The sequence below is a fragment of the Homo sapiens genome, chromosome 2 (genome assembly GCF_000001405.40).
Source record: "Homo sapiens chromosome 2, GRCh38.p14 Primary Assembly".
Taxonomy (NCBI): Eukaryota; Metazoa; Chordata; class Mammalia; order Primates; family Hominidae; genus Homo; species Homo sapiens.
The window spans coordinates 207,913,410-207,930,152 of record NC_000002.12 but is presented as its reverse complement, the minus strand read 5'-3'; the positions used below and the strand labels follow the sequence as shown (position 1 = coordinate 207,930,152).

The window sequence follows — 16,743 nt, the reverse complement described above, 5'->3', positions numbered from 1 at the left end:
TAGTTCATAGAACACCAAGTCCAAAGCAGGCTCAGATCCTTAAAGTTGAAAGTAAAATGTGCCTGCTCTCATAAAATTCCTTTTTTACAGACAGATTTTATAGGCATTTAAAGTCTCACCCTTGGCATATACAAACTAGCTTATACTTGAAATAATTGTTGATGGCGTTCATAAGTCTCTAAAAATACCTTTTAATTTTTTTGTTTTAATAGAAATGACCAGCAGCATGCATTAGTCATGTTAAATGTTTTTGGAGGTAAGCCTACCTGCCTAAGAACTTTTGGAAAGTATTGAAGTGATGGAGTTTTGAGATCCAATTAGATCCAAAGAAACTGACATAACCCCGGGCATCTAAAAAAGAACTAAATGTAGATAGTAAAGGATATATAATATCTAGACAAGCTCTCATAAAATAATAATGAAAAGACAGCTGCCATAAAGCAAAATACTTCTCAGTGGTAGTCATTCTATTACCTAGTTGTTTTTCAGAAAGCACAGAAAGTGGTCAGGATTTATTCTTATAAAGTCTAGGCAGATCTTAATTTTAAAAGATCAGGGCTTTCCTTGGAAGGCAATAGAATTATATGTCTCAAACTAATTTACCAACTAAACCAGATACAAGATTTTTAATGTTCAAAGTATGTTCTATTATTTTCAGTACCTTTTGGCTTTGCTCAGAGCTTATTTTTCTTGTGCCTGTATTTCTAGACAATATTAAAATCTCTACATAGGAATCATGTTAGATACCTTTATGGTATAATGTTTTGCTCTGCTTAAAATATGCCAAATCAGGGCACACATTTAGAAGTTAAATAGAAGGTCCTCTCCTCATATGGATGACTAAGAATCTCTACTCAATTCCAGCAGTCTGGTGGTTTACCACCATGTACTGTGCCTTATGGCCAGACCACCAGGAAAGAAATGGGAGTTCTAGAAACAAGGCACTCCCAAAGCTATGAGAATGAAGACAGCATTTTTCCCCTTCATTTTCCCTTTTCCCTATATTTTTCTTTCCTGGACTTGTTCATAACCATTATATAATGCAATGCCTGGCACAAGGTAGGTGTTCAGTAAGTACTGAATGGATAGATGGAAGGAGGGATGGATGTATATTAAGTGTCACTTCAGACCACTGAGTAATAGCTAGTAGCTCAGTTTTGGGGAGGGAATCATCTTCAGAGTCTTCTTTTTCTTACCTTCCTATTTTTCACTTAGCGCAATGTCTGACCCATCCAAAACACTCAAAAATAGTTGTTGAGTGAATAAGAAAATGAGTGAAAGAGCAGTCAAATCAGTCCAAAAAATTTAGATGGTTCTGTTTCTGAGATAACTCTCAAATCTTTCCTCTCCTTTTTACTTCTAATACACTACCCTGGTTGAGAATCTCAAGGCTATTGCCGTGTCCTTCTAACTAGCCTAACATTTCTTCCCTCTTCAATCCAACCTTTGCATTAGATAAATTATTTAAAATAGAAGTATAGAATTCAAGATCTGCCCAAGTCTAACCCAGTATATTGTTCTACTCTCAAATACCCTGCCCTTCCGGCAAAAATTATTACTTTGCTCTCAAGGCATTCCCTTGTGGGAATTAAATGAGTTCACACAACTGAAGTGCTTAAAACAGTGCTTGGACATACTAAGCATACAGTAAATACTATTATTGTTATTAATATCACTTTCTTATCCTAGACTGTTCTTATATCTGGCTTTAAAAATATTTGATAAAATATTCCACTTAAAAGCCACCACCTGTTATTTTCTCTACTAGAATTAATCCTCTTTTCCTGCTGCTATGTCAAGAAAGGAGTGAGCAAGGGAGAGTGGATGGAAAGCTAGCTGGGCCCAGGCCTGTAGTTTCTGCTTATACAGTGCTTGCTTCTCCATGTGACTGTTTCATAAAATGGGTGGAGCAGTCTGCCTACAAGCCAACAATGAGACATTGATTCCTACAGAAACTGAGGAAGCACTGCTTTATTTTAAATTTTGTTATTTTAGATTTCCTATACTTACATGTTGTTAAAATATTGTTTAGGGTTACCATTTCTCTCAAACCTGAGGCAGAGAAAAGTGTGCTAGTAACAAATAGTACTTTTACGGCTTTTGAGGGAAGGGGTAAGTTGAGGGGGGATGTTATTGAATTTTTTTTAAATCTTTTTTATTAAAAAATTTAATTAAAATGTAATTATTAAAAAATTGTTTTTCTAGCCACTAAACAACCAGGGATGATTTATTCTGAAATACGACTATTTAGTGAAATAATCTCCAAGAGTTTTGCCAGGGTGTCCATACTTCCTGCAGCCAGGCCACACTTTCTTTTCTTTTTGAGACGGAGTTTTGCTCTGTCACCCAGGCTGGAGTGCAGTGGCACGATCTTGGCTCACTGCAACCTCTGCCTCCCAGGTTCCAGCAATTCTCCTGCCTCAGCCTCCTGGGTAGCTGGGATTACAGGCATGTGCCACCACGCCTGGCTAATTTTTGTATTTTTAGTAGAGACGGGGTTTCACCATGTTGGCCAGGCTGGTCTCGAACTCCTGACCTCAGGTGATCCGCCTGCCTCAGCCTCCCAAAGTGCTGGGATTATAGGTGTGAGCCACCACACCCAGCCAGCCACACTTCTTTTTTTTTTTTTTTTTTTTTGAGACAGAGTCTCACTCTATCGCCCAGGCTGGAGTGCAGTGGCATGATCTCGGCTCACTGCAGCCTCTGCCTCCTGGGTTCAAGCGATTCTCCTGCCTCAGCCTCCTGAGTGGCTGGGATTACAGGCCTATGCCACCACACCTGGCTAATTTTTGTATTTTTAGTAGAGACGGGCTTTCACCATGTTGCCCAGGCTGAATCTGACTTCTTAAAAACAAAGTTAGTCACCAATACCTTTATATGTAATGAGTTTATCCAAAATCAATATTTAAGGCTCCCTTTGTTTTACCTGAGGATACGACATCTAAAGTGGGGGAGTTTAAACAGTGAGGTGAACTTGCTGGACTTAACTAATCTCATATATCCCTGATAGAAACTGAAAGAGGGAGGAGTTGATGGGGAACAAAAAAAAGCAAGAGAATCCAGTTCTTATCTAGTCGTAAAAGGCATTCTCTTCCTGCCTGGTTTTTACCTCAATATGAGAGTGGCCATTAATCTCCAGCAAGTAGGCGCAACATGCCGAAGACCTGTCAGCACCATATAAACAGAATAAAGCAAACTGTTAATATTGCTGTCGTGAGAAAACTGAAAACAGACTGATTAATTGTATTAGCGCTCGACCGCCAGGGAGCCAGCTTTGGCCGTCGCCTTATTAGGGAAGTCATAGTTTGCTTTTAGGCCTTTCATTATGATGGCTGTCCGGTATTCATCCTCACTGTTTTTGTTATTGTTGTTAAATGAACGCCTTGTTCTTGAACCCACACTGCACATCTTGACTGGCAGGGGTGATTAGTTTAGAAAAAGTCAGTGTCCTCCCCGAAGCTTAAAATGTTTACAGTGCTGACAATTCACTGTTTCTGAGGACTCCCAGATGGCGGTCCTGCTGAATTAGTTCAAGGTCTAGTTAACTTTTCATGAGAAGAATTATTTACAGTGTCCACACATGAAGGTGCATGAAGAACTCTGTGGAAAATCTGGGCATACATGGCAATGTCAGGACACATCCGGATCAGCAGCTGTTAGGGAAATTTCTGGGAGGGACGTTAAGAACTGCTAGGAAGAGCCTCAGCTCTTGCTGAACACAGGAACAGCAGGATGTGTCACACACAGGCACGGTAGAATGTGTCACCTCAAGGCCAGATTTGGCCAGCAGACATGTTTTGTTTGGCCTCACAGGGATGGCCCCACAAAGTTTTGAAATTGTGAAATAGTTGCCAACTTTAAAAAAATCAGGAGTTTTCATGCACACACAAAGTGAAGCTTTCTGGTTTCTCTTGGGAAATGAGTTCTGATTACACAGAACTTCCCTCATTCTGTGTAGCAGAGATCAGCTTTAGACACTTGACTTGCCACTTTGCCATAACTTCTTCTGCTCTAGTTTGTCTCCCCAAACCCAGTGCCACTTGGCATATAACACATTGCTGCCCTGTTTTTCTCATCTCCAGCCCATTTAATTCGTTTATGGTGGTTCCCTGGGCCTAGGCATTCGAGGTTTTAACCCCAAGGCCATGTAATTAAATATTAAGAACAGAGTTTGTCGATGTCTCAGATACTAGATCCGTAACTCGGTCAGGAAGTTCATCTCAAAGGATGCCGAATGTCTAGATGTGGTTCTCTCAAAAGACAGACATGAAGAGTCCTGTAGAACTAGAGGAAATAACACCAGGTCGACTTCAAAGTTCCTCAGAAGATGTGTTGGGGTGTCCTAAGGCTTGGGCTAGGCCATTACAATGCGCCCCTCAGGCAGTTGCGGTACAGTGATTTGAGGGAGGGACCATTACCTGGAGCAGCAGCCTCACCACAAAGCTGAAGATTAGAGCTGGGTTACCAAGCCCAGGTGGGGCAAACTGAGAAAAAAGAAAAAAGTGAGGACACAAATGGAGGTGGTTTATTATAAACTCTGCGTTAAGTTGGACGGCCTGAGCTCAGAGCTCATTTCTGTCTCTGTTAGCTTTCAGAGCCAGTTTTCTCACCTGGAGACAATACCACCTCATAAGGAAAGTGCGAGGATTCAGGGATTTAATGCCCAGAACAGAGCAAGCTCTCAGGAAATATTAGCTGCTATAACTTTTATTTTAAGCAGATCATAATTCAGGAGGAGCCAGGAGGTGAACAGGGGAGAAGAGGCAAAAGGAAGATGAGCCTGGAGGCATCCAAGAGCCTGGGATTCAGGGAATTGCCACACCTTTCTGTGCAGAGCACACAGGATCAGTAGAAGTTATGAGATGCGGACTCTGGCCCATCAGTAGCGATCTACCCGGATCCCTCAGGGACCATGCCCCTTAATCCTCCCTCCCTGCTTCTAGCATATTTAATTAATGTCATACTCTCTAATTTTTTTACCTGCCCTCTCACTAAAAAAAAAAAACAAAAAACAAAAAAACAACCCTGTTCATACTACCACCTAAGATCCCATCTTAAGCACTCAGAACTGTCTCCATTTCCCTTTTGCCCACTCACTTCTGACGTGGCCCCTTGCAGGCTGGCTGTGGATTGCACTCTCCTCTGACACCTTGACTTCCTGAGGCCCTTGTTTCTTTGGCCTCCTGGGCATTGTTGGTCACCATTTCTCCTAGACCTCCTTCTCCCTGTCCTTCTCTGCACTCTGTCCTGTCCGAGTCTCCCCCTTCTCCTTGCCCTCAATGCCTCCACATCCTCCAGCTCCCTAATGCTAGGAATACCCAACACCTCGGCTGCCCTTCTGCATAATCCTCCAGCCTTCACAGGAGCCAATGGGGCAACTTTATGTGAGCTAGCAGAAGGTGCCCCTTTCTCAGGGCACTTGGTTTTGTTGTTGTTGTTGTTTTGTTTGTTTGTTTTGGTTTGGTTTTGAGACAGAGTCTCTCTCTGTCACCCAGGTTGGAGTGCAGTGGCGCGATCTCAGCTCACTGCAACCTCCACCTCCCAGGTTCAAGCAATTCTCCTGCCTCAGCCTCCTGAATAGCTGGGAATTACAGGCATGTGCCACCACACCTGGCTAATTTTTGTATTTTTAGTAGAGACAGGTTTCACCATGTTGGCCAGGCTGGTCTTGAACTCCTGACCTCAAGTGATCCACCTGCCTCGGCGTCCCCAAGTGCTGGGATTACAGGCATGAGCTGCCACACCTGGCCTTATCAGGGCACTTTGTTGTCATCTGCAGGGAGAGAGTCATGGTCCCTCTGTAAATCGACACTGACTATAAGGTGACAACGTTTGGCCCAGCACTCTTCCTTGAGGAGATCACTCACTAGTTTGTTATGTCCAGCTGCGTACTGGACATCCCCACTTCAAATTGAAATTATTTTTTCCCTGAAAAATATATCCATGTGGGCCAGGCGCAGCAGCTCACACTTGTAATCCCAGCACTTTGGGAGGCCGAGGTGGGCAGATCACCTGAGGCCAGGAGTTCAAGACCAGCCTCGCCAACATGGTGAAACCTGTCTCTACTAAAAATACAAAAATTAGCAGGGCATGGTGGCATGCACCTGTAGTCCTAGCTACTCGGAAGGCTGAGGCAGAATCGCTCGAACCTGGGAGGCGGAGGTTGCAATGAGCTCAGATTGCGCCACTGCACTCCAGCCTGGGAGGCAGAGCAAGACTCCGCCTCAGAAAAAAAAAAAAAAAAAAATATATATATATATATATATATATATGTGTGTGTGTGTGTGTGTGTGTGTGCGTGCGTGTGTATGTATGTATATGTATGTATATATATCCATGTGGTCAGGTATGTTTCAGTTAATCATGACATTATTCCCTTATTTTCCCCTAGTTTGAACCTTGACATAGTCCAAAAGTTTTGCTTTAAGGTTCTCTAAGAGCCAAATTCTTCCCTTATTTTTCATTCCCATTGCCATCCCCCTTGTCTCTACTCTCATCACCTTATTTCAATAATTTTCTTTTCTTTTATGAGCGTGTGTGTGTGTGAGACAGAGTTTCGCTCTTGTCACCCAGGCTGGAGTGCAATGGTGCCATCTCGGCTCACCGCAACCTCCACCTCCCTGGTTCAAGCGATCCTCCTGCCTCAGCCTCCCGAGTAGCTGGGGTTACAGGCATGTGCCACCATGCCCAGCTAATTTTGTGTTTTTTGTAGAGACAGGGTTTCTCCATGTTTGTCAGGCTGGTCTTGAACTCCCGACCTCAGGTGATCCTCCTGCCTCCGCCTCCCAAAGTACTGGGATTACAGGCATGAGCCACCGCACCTAGCTATTTTAATAATTTTCTTTTTTTTCATTTTAATACTTTTCTAGCTGGGGATCCTACCTCCCCATGGCACCCCTCCTCAGTCCCTCTAACATATGTACTACTGTAAAATGGTCTTATTAGACAGTGAGTAGTTCGGCTACCTACAGGATAACGCAACACCCTTGGATGGGTTTTCAAGGTTCTCTGTCATCTGACCCTGACCTACATGCACAACTTTAACTTCCACATGGTTCCTGTGTGGACCACACCACGAGCCAGAATCTTCCACTGTGTTCCTGATGGACCACAGCCACCCCAGCCCAGCCAAAATGACATACTCATTTCCTTGACACCAGCTGCCTCCCAGTCCTCTTGACTCGACTTGACTTGGCTTCTCTTACTTTAAAGCCAACTCAAGTGCTGCCTCTTCCCACCTGTCCTCAGTAGCTGATCCCTTCTCTGGTTTCTTCCAGCAGTGATCATCTGGACCACGCATTTGGCACTTAAGGGCTTGGATGGTCTTCTTTTTTTTTTTTTGAGACGGAGTCTCTCTCTGTTGCCCAGGCTGGAGTGCAGTGGCACGATCTCTGCTCACTGCGAGTTCTGCCTCCCGGGTTCACACCATTCTCCTGCCTCAGCCTCCCGAGTAACTGGGACTACAGGCGCCCGCCACCACGCCCAGCTAATTTTTTGTATTTTTAGTAGAGACAGGTTTTCACCGTGTTAGCCAGGATGGTCTCGATCTCCTGACCTCGTGATCCGCCCGCCTCGGCCTCCCAAAGTGCTGGGATTACAGGCGTGAGCCACCGCGCCTGGCCAGGGCTTGGATGGTTTTCATCTCCTTATGTATATATCCTCTCTTGCTGGCTAGATCAGAAGGCCCTTAAAGGCCATGATTGTCCTCAAAACCTAAAATAGAAGACCACACATGCTAGTGGTGCAATAAAAGCTTGTTAATAATAGTAATTATGTGTAGAATAGTTTACTGTATATAAAGATAATTATGATTTCATTAGTCACAAAGTACTTCCCCTTAAATATATTATTTGTTCTTTACAGCAGCCCTTTTAGATAGGTAGGGCAGATGGTATTTAGAAAGAAGAGAAAGCATCACTAAACATCAGGGAAATGCAAATCAAAACCACAAGGAGATATCATCTCACCCCAGTTAGAATGGCTATTATCAAAAAGATAGAAAATAACAACCACCAGCAAGGATGTGGAGAAAAGAGAACTCTTATAAACTGTTGGTGGGAATGTAAATTAGTACAGACTCTATGGAAAAGAGCATGGAGCTTCCTCAAAAAACTAAAAATAGAGCTACCATATGATCCAGCAATCCTACTACTGGGTGTATAGCCAAAAGAAAGGAAATCATTATGTCAAATGGATATCTGCTCCCCTTATTTATGGAGATCCCACTAGTCACTGTGGAAGTGTCCATCAAATGGACAAAGAAAATGTGGTAAATATACACAATGAAGTACCATTCAGCCATAAAAAAGAGTGAAATCCTGTCATTCACAGCAATATGGATGAGCCTATACAATGTTATGTTAAGTGAATAAGCCAAGCACAGAGAGACAAATACTCCATGTTCTCATTCATATGCAGGAACTGAAAAAGTGGATCACATAGAAGTAGAGAGTAGAACAATGGTCACTAGAGGTGGGGAAGGGTAGAGGGATGAGAGGGTTAGGGAGAGGTTGGGTTAACAAATACAAATTACAGTTAGAGAAATAGGTTCTGGCATTCTATAGCACTGTAGGGTGAATATAGTTAATAATAATTTGTTGTATATTTTCAGATAGCTAGAAAAGTGCATTTTGAATGTTCCCACCATAAAGAAATGATAAATGTTTGAGATGATAGATGTGCTAATTACCCTGATTTGATTATTATACATTGTATAATGTACTGAACTAGTACATTGTACTCTATCAATACATATCATTATATGTCCATTAAAAATATTTAATAATAATTTTTTTAAAAGAAGAGAGGCCAGGTGCAGTGGCTCACGCCTGTAATCCCAGCACTTTGGGAGGCTGAGGCAGGCAGATTGCGAGGTCAAGAGATTGAGAACATCCTGGCCAACATGGTGAAACCCCGTCTCTGCGAAAAATACAAAAATTAGCTGGGTGTGGTAGCGTGCACCTGTAGTCCCAGCTACTCAAGAGGCTGAGGCAGGAGAATCACTTGAACCCAGGAGGCGGAACTTGCAGTGAGCCAAGATAGTGCCACTGCACTCCAGCCTGGCAACAGAGCGAGACAACATCAAAAAAAGTAGGAAGGAAGGGAGGGAAGGAGGGAGGGAGGGAAGGAATGGAACTATGACTCTAAGATGCTACACTCTGAGAGTGTAAAGGAAGGCAGGGAGGTGGCAGACAGTGGTGTCCCTTGAACAGGGAGGCGGATTGCTGAGACGGGCACTCCTGTGCTCGTTGGCAAGCTTGATCAGCCGTGGAGAACCAGGCATGACAATTGGGTTAGTGCTAGCAAATGCATTTACTCCAGGTCAGCATTTGCCAGACCCTCCTATGTCCCAGACCTGTAAACTTAAAACAAAAATACGAAGTTAACTATAGGGTTGCCTTGTAAATATCTTTAGCCAAAACAGAAATAAAAACATTACCCTCTATTTCTCACCATCATTTCACGTAAGAACATAGTAATACTAAAAAAAAAAAAAAAATAGGCAAACTGCTTTAGAAATCAAACAGCTTTTTAAAATCAAGTAGATTTAGAAATCATTCTACATTTTTTTTTCTCTCATTTTACTTTGGACTGCTAAAAACATCAGCAGACTGACACCAGCTGTTTGGACTAGCTTTTCAGAAATCCCAGTTCAAGTCATATTTTCTCTTCTGAGTGCTGAAGTGAAATCCACTCCTGGGAAATTTCTGTGGATGCTTCAGTATTTCCCATTCTCAATCATCAAAAATGTGATTTGGGGGCTTGGGGTGCCTGGCAAATCCATAGCCCATTACGGTATAAATGTAAAACTCGTCTCTCTCCAGCACTAGTCAAGGGCAGTAGGCAATATTAGGCCTCTTTCCCTGGTTGCTTAGAACAGAATTGTGTTCTCAGGGAGCATTTGCTCCTACATGTTTGTCAGGTTTAGTCCTTGACTTAGACCATTCCGAAGCAATTTAATGGCTTGGCTTGAGAGGCTCAAGAGAATACCCAAAGTGATTCTTCTACCTTCTAAGCCATCTCTTCCTATCTTTGGTGTCACATTTTATTTCAAATTATGATTATATCCAGCAGGAGTTCCCACTGAAATATCAGTTTTACCGAATGGTGAGAAATTTCTATTATAAAGATTGCCACTTTTATTAAAACTGTCCTGGTGAATACCAGAAAAAAATGTGTGTGTGCGTGTGTGTGTGTGTCTGTCCTGACAGACTCTCATTGCTTCCCCTTCCTTCAAGCAAAATTTAGCAGCTTACTCTGCTCTTAGACCAGTCCCCATCAATGTCACTTGATTTAACAAGACTGCCTTCCCCCTCCTTCCCTTGTTATGCCAGAAAATAACTATCTTTCTAGTGAGTTCACTGTAGCTGAGGCTGAGTCCAAAGGTTGAAATGTTCTTTGGCTGTCTAATAACGTCTTAACCTTAATATGTCCAAAACTTAGCTCCTAGTATTCCCACCCACGCCCACTCACATTGCAAACCACTCCTCCTACAGTATTTCCCATCTTGCTTCATGGCATCTCTGTCCATACAGTGATGCAAGCCAAACACCTTTCTCTCATATTCTACATCCAGTCGGCAAACCTGTCAGCTTCAGCTTCAAAATCTATCCACTTTTCACCACTTTCACTGCTGGAGGTTGGGTCCACCATCACCTTTCGCCTGGATTATTCCAGTAACTGGTCTCCTGCACCACCCTTATCCCCCTTCAGTCTGTTCTTAAGACTATAGCTAATGTATAAATTAGATGATGTCACTCCTGGCCCAAACGGATAGTTTCACCTCTCGCTCCAAGTAAAAGCCCAGGGCATACGTGGTCTCATCTCCCATTACCTCTCTGCCTCATCGCCCACTACTTTCCCCCTCATTCACTCTGTTCCAGTCACACTGGCCTTTTTGTTGGTCCTTGGTCATACCAAGCTGGCTGCTACCTTAGTTTCTATACTTGCTTTTCCTTTCCCTCTGTAACTGCTGAGATTGCTTCCTTTTTTCTCTTTTTTTCTTTTTTTTATCGTTTTGTTTCTCAGTGTGAAACCAAGCTTGCTTCGTAACTCCATTAGGTCTTTGAGCAGCCATCACTTAATGAAGCATCCTTTACCACTGTGTTTTAAATGGCAACACAGTGTCTGTTTGTACCCCACTGCCCACCACACACGCCTCCTGTCTTCTTTCTCTGCTTACTTATTACCATTAAACATGGTATTTTATTTTGTCTGTTTCCATCTCTTAGGCCATCAGGTGTGAATGTAGACGTTTTGCTTTGTTCAACCTATGCAGCCACATGCACTGGCGCTGCCCTTTCTGCTAGATGTAAGCTACAAAATGTCATGACTTTTTATCTGTTATATTCACTGCTTAGAGCTATACATATAGTGGGGGCTAATAAATACTTGTTGAATAAATTAATTAAATGAATGAAGATTCTGCCCAATTTGGCCAAACTTATTTTTTCTCTTATTACAAAAGAATACTGTTCATCATAGAAAACAAAAATAAGAAAGCCACCCATATCCTACCACTTTGATGCATATCCTCCCAGACCTTTTCCTCTGCAGATGATCTTTCCCCATGAGAGTGGTTTTTTGTTTGTTTGTTTGTTTGTTTGTTTTTTGTTTGTTTGTTTGTTTGTTGAGACAGAGTCTTGCTTTGCCACCCAGGCTGCAGCACAGTGGCGCAATCTCGGCTCACTGCAAGCTCCGCCTCCCAGGTTCATGCCATTCTCCTGCCTCAGCCTCCTGAGTAACTGGGACTACAGGCGCCCACCACCACGTCCAGCTAATTTTTTGTATTTTTAGTAGAGACGGGGTTTCACCGTGTTAGCCAGGAAGGTCTTGATCTCCTGACCTCGTGATCCACCCACCTCAGCCTCCCAAAGTGCTGGGATTACAGGTGTGAGCCACCACGCCCGGCACTGAAAGTGGTTTTATATTATCCTTAACCATTTCACTTAGTATATTGTGAACATCTTTTTTATGCTGGTAAATATTTGTCTAAACATAATGAAATGAGTGAAAATGGTGTTTTAATGTGTGGGCATACCTACATGTTATTGATCTTGGAAGAAGTAAATGGGGATTATTATTCAGTGTACTCAAAAGATTGCATGAGCAATCTAATACTAAATGAGCTGGTAGAATCACTTCATATCAACACTCCCTCTTCTCCCCTCACCCCCTAAAAAATCAAGTATATTAGGTAGAAGGATTATCTAATACAGAGAGAAAAGATTGCATGCTATTGTAAATCAAATACACTTGCTCTAGGAGGGCAGTTTATTAAGAACATGTCTCTTAGGGCAGAATTTTTTTTTCTTTTTGAGACAAGGTATCACTGTTGCTCAGTGCCATGACATGACCACAGCTCACTGCAGCCTCGACCTCCCAAGCTCAAACAATCCTACTTCAGCCTCCTGAGTAGCTGGGACTACAGCTGCATGCCATCATGCCCACTTAATTTTTTTATTTTTTGTTTTTGTAGAGACAGAGTCTCACTATGTTGCTAGGGCTCCTCTCAAACTCCTGGGTTTAAGGGATCCTCTACCTCAGCCTCCCAAAGTGCTGGGATTACAAGCGTGAGCCACCCTGCCTGGCCAGGGCAGCCTAACTCTTAAAGCACAATCTACACAGACTGGAGTTGCAATGTCTCTGAACTGCATATGAGGAATATCTTACAACCAAAATCTGAGACTGAAGTGTGCAAGGTCTGGTTAATACTGAATTTTAGAAGAATAAGTCTATTTTAGCAAAAATATTAGCACTAAATTAGTCTCATTAAAGACCAGTAAGTATTAGCTCTTCAAACTTGTGGATAACACTTCTTTAAGCTCACTAAGTGAAAACAACTCTTTATGTTCTCTGTAATATTTAAGGTTACCCGAATTTTGTGGCTACTTTTCCAGTTAGCTAATTAAAAATTTCATCAGCTGCAGCTGGGGCTTTAGCCTTAACAGATTAGCTGCAGAATCTATCAGGACTCAGAAATAAAGGATGTCATTTTGGTAGTTTTGATAGCAACCATTCTCCTCATTCTACTTCAAGAATTCTTTTCCATTAGATGACTTCTAAAAGTGTGGTTTTTGAGTCATCTATCTTCCTGATATCCTAATAGCTCTTCCCTCTCCCTTCTTTTTCTCCAGAGATCTAATTCAGCAAATTATGTATATACCAATATCAGCACTGTAAAAGGGTGCTACAGACTGTCTGCAGTGTCATTCATGACTAAACAGATTTGAAAAGTTTCAAAAGGAATTCTGGGAAGTTATATATTAATTTTACTAAACTACATACATACATAGCTCTTTATTTACTCAGAGATCTTTCAAAAAGCCAGGATGTTTTCTCTTATTCTGAGATGAAATGAAATATATAAATTCTCTAAAATCATTTTCTTTTTTTTTCTTTTTTTGAGATGAAGTCTCACTCTGTCACCTGGGCTGGAGTGCAGTGGTGCAGTCTTGGCTCACTGCAACCTCCGCCTCCTGGGTTCAAGTGATTTTCCTGTTTCAGCATTCCTAGCAGCTGGGATTACAGGTGTGAGCCACCATACCCAGCTAATTTTTTTCTTTTGTATTTTTAGAAGAGATGGAGTTTCAACCATGTTGGCCAGAGTGGTCTCGAACTCCTGACCTCAGGTGATCTATCTACCTCGGCCTCCCAAAGTGCTGGGATTACAGATGTGAGCCACCGTGCCCGGCCTCTAAAATCATTTTCTAAGAGAAAACAAAAATAAAACTCATTGCGGGGGAAGTGTTATATTCTTGCGACTGTTAAACACCTTAAGAATTTGAGCTAGGTATATAACAGCTATGATATAATCTATCATTTTTATAATCAGATGCCACAATACTCACAATTAAAATTACATCCCAGATATTTCTACTTGAGGCTTTAGATTGTGGCTAAGAAACTTAAGTACAATTTCTGAATAAGCAGGTAAAAGGACCCTTATTTCCTGTAACTACCTGCCAAGATATAATATCTGATGCAATCTTGCCATTTTTTCAGCCAATGAGATTTGCAAAATGAGGTACCTAGAGAAGTGATTGAAGCTTGTTTCTTCCACATGGGCTGCTATCGAAATATGTGCCTTTGATTTAAAATTGTTTTTCCATTAGCTCAGAGTATGGCTGGACATACGAATCCTGTCCACGTCCAGCCTAATGTAACTATTTCAGGAAGAGTTTGCAGCTCATATCAAGAACATCAAATTGCATCTCCCTGGGGATGCTTCATAGTGCTTTTTGCTGATTTCAGTGTGGGTATATGTGCTCTCCAAAGGAAAGACACTGGCCATCTCAACTTAATATAAATTACCTACCCTGGAGCACATATTCTTGGAAGACAGTAAAACTACGTGAATAAATGGTTTTCCTTTCAAAATTATTCCTTATGCATCTTTATCCGTATTCTTTATTTAGACCCTTATCATTTAGAATCAAATTGTGGAGTTTGCTTTTGGTGTTGTGCTATCATTTTAATTTTACATGTGTGTATGTTGTGGGTCTTTTCTTTAAAGCCTAAGATGAGATATTTCCATTGCAAGTTTTTCCCTCATTTTAATCATTGAGTCTTTAAATGCCGGTTGTGCATCTCTAAGAACTGAGCTTCAGGAAAATGGTAATATTATCAAATCTATCAGAACCTTGCAAAGGGTCTGCCTACTTTAGAGCCTGACCCCAATCCCTTTTTTCTCGTGAGCACTGGGGCTTGGTGGGAGCTGAGTTGAACTTCTCAGGAATTAGTCAAGTTAAATAAGTCTTGATTTATTTGACCTAATGTCATGGAACAAAATGGAATGAGGCCCTTCTACCTTTTTGTTAAGACTACTGCCTTTGATTTCATAGGCAATTATCTCTGCATTTTTAACCCCAAGTACCAGCTACATAATATAAGGGCTCTGAATCATATATGACCTTTTTCCTTTTTAATTTTCATCTTTTCTCACCTTTCTCATTAGAGCAATCTATAAATGAAGCCTAAGTTACCTTCCCAGTGTGTCAGGCAATTCTAAAGATGATAAAATAGAAAATGTTAGCACTAGAAGCGATTGTGCTAGTTGGTTTTCATGATCTTCTAGCACGTTTCTTCAATGTTCTTTGCTACCAGGAAACTCGGTAGTGCTACCTGCTAGTGATATCGTTTCCTTTGATGGGCGAGTGAAGTGTGGAGTTGACTCTTCTTATCTCATTTATTCTTTGGCTCTGGTGTCAGGGCTTGCATTGGCATAAGCAGGGCTGCCCACTGCAGAAATGCTGCCAGACATGATGATTAATAGCCCCTGCAATACAGTGACGTCAGTTAATGCACAGAAGGCCCTAAACACAGCAGCCTCTTCTGCAACAAGGATCCTGTTTACCAAAGGACTGCTAAGCCAGATAACCTTCAGTTAGTTTGTGGCTTTTGGTTCTTAATATAATGAAGTTTAGGGGTTAAATTTAATAAATTAGTAATTACTTTTTTTTTTTTTTTTTTGACACAGGGTCTTGCTTTATCACCCAGGCTGGACTACAGTGGCATGATCATGGCTCACTGCAGCCTCAACCTCCTGGGCTCAATTGATCCTCCTGCTGCAGCCTCTTGAGTAATTGGGACCACAGGCATTCACCACCACCCCCAGCTAATTTATTTTATATTTTGTTTTTTGTTTTTTTTTTTGAGACGGAGTTTCATTCTTATTGCCCAGGCTGGAGTGCAATGGCGCGATGTTGGCTCACTGCAACCTCCAGCTCCTGGGTTCAATCAATTCTCCTGCCTCAGCCTCCTGAGTAGCTGGGATCACGGGCATGCGCCACCATGCCCAGCTAATTTTTTTATATTTTTAGTAGAGATGGGGTTTCTTCATGTTGGTCAGGCTGGTCTCAAACTCCTACCCTCTGGTGATCAGCCCGACTTGGCCTCCCGAAGTGCTGGGATTACAGGCGTGAGCCACGGCACCCGGCCCCCCAGCTAATTTTTGTATTTTTTTTAGAGATAGGGTCTTGCTATGTTGCCCAGTCTGGTCCCAAACTCCTGAGCTCAAGTGATCCTCCCACCTCACCCTCCCAAAGTGCTGGGATTACAGGTGTGAGCCACTGCGCCCTGTTGAGTAATTATTAATCTTTTTTATATAACACTTTAGTAAAAACTTGAACTGTTTCAATTAGGAAAATACTGTGTGTGGGGTGTGTGTGTGCGCGTGTGCGCACGCACACGCGCGGTCAGGGGAGTGTGTGTGTGTGTGTTTTCATGCACGCACATACACATGTGCAAATGTGTGTATTTGAAAGAGCTTCCAGCTGGGTCCACATCCCATTTCCTTTAGGCCTTTTGAAGGCCAGGCTTCATCAGTTATCTCTACTTTTGTGTCTTCAGCTTTTGTTTCTATAGTAGCTTCTTAATGTTAGCATTTAAGTATGCCCAAGTTTCTCTTATGTTTTTAGAAAAAAAAAAATCCTTTCTTAGTCCTACATCCTTCTTTAGCTGTGGCCCAATTTCCCTCCTTTTCTTTAAAGTTGACTTCGTAAAAGAGTAACCCACAATCCTCACCCCTCTCCAGTCTTTCCTCCTCCTCCCCTGAAACCACCCAGTCTGAGGTCACTGATGGATTCCTGTTTGCCAGCAGGCACTTTCCAGGCCTCATGAGAGTCTTCCTTACGTTATTTGACCTCTCCACTACCTTTGATGCCATTGACCACCTTCTTCCTTCATGAAATTCTCTCCTTCCTTGGCTTCCCTGGTGCTGGCTCTTCTGCTTTTTCTCCTCCC

The 16,743-nt window shown here is 42.2% G+C and overlaps 1 protein-coding gene across 8 annotated transcripts in view; it reads left to right on the top strand.

Moving 5' to 3' along the window:
* The window catches only part of PLEKHM3 (pleckstrin homology domain containing M3), a 204,240-nt gene that overhangs the window by 95,375 nt on the left and 92,122 nt on the right, over window positions 1–16,743 (top strand). The gene's annotated exons all lie outside the window — the stretch shown is intronic.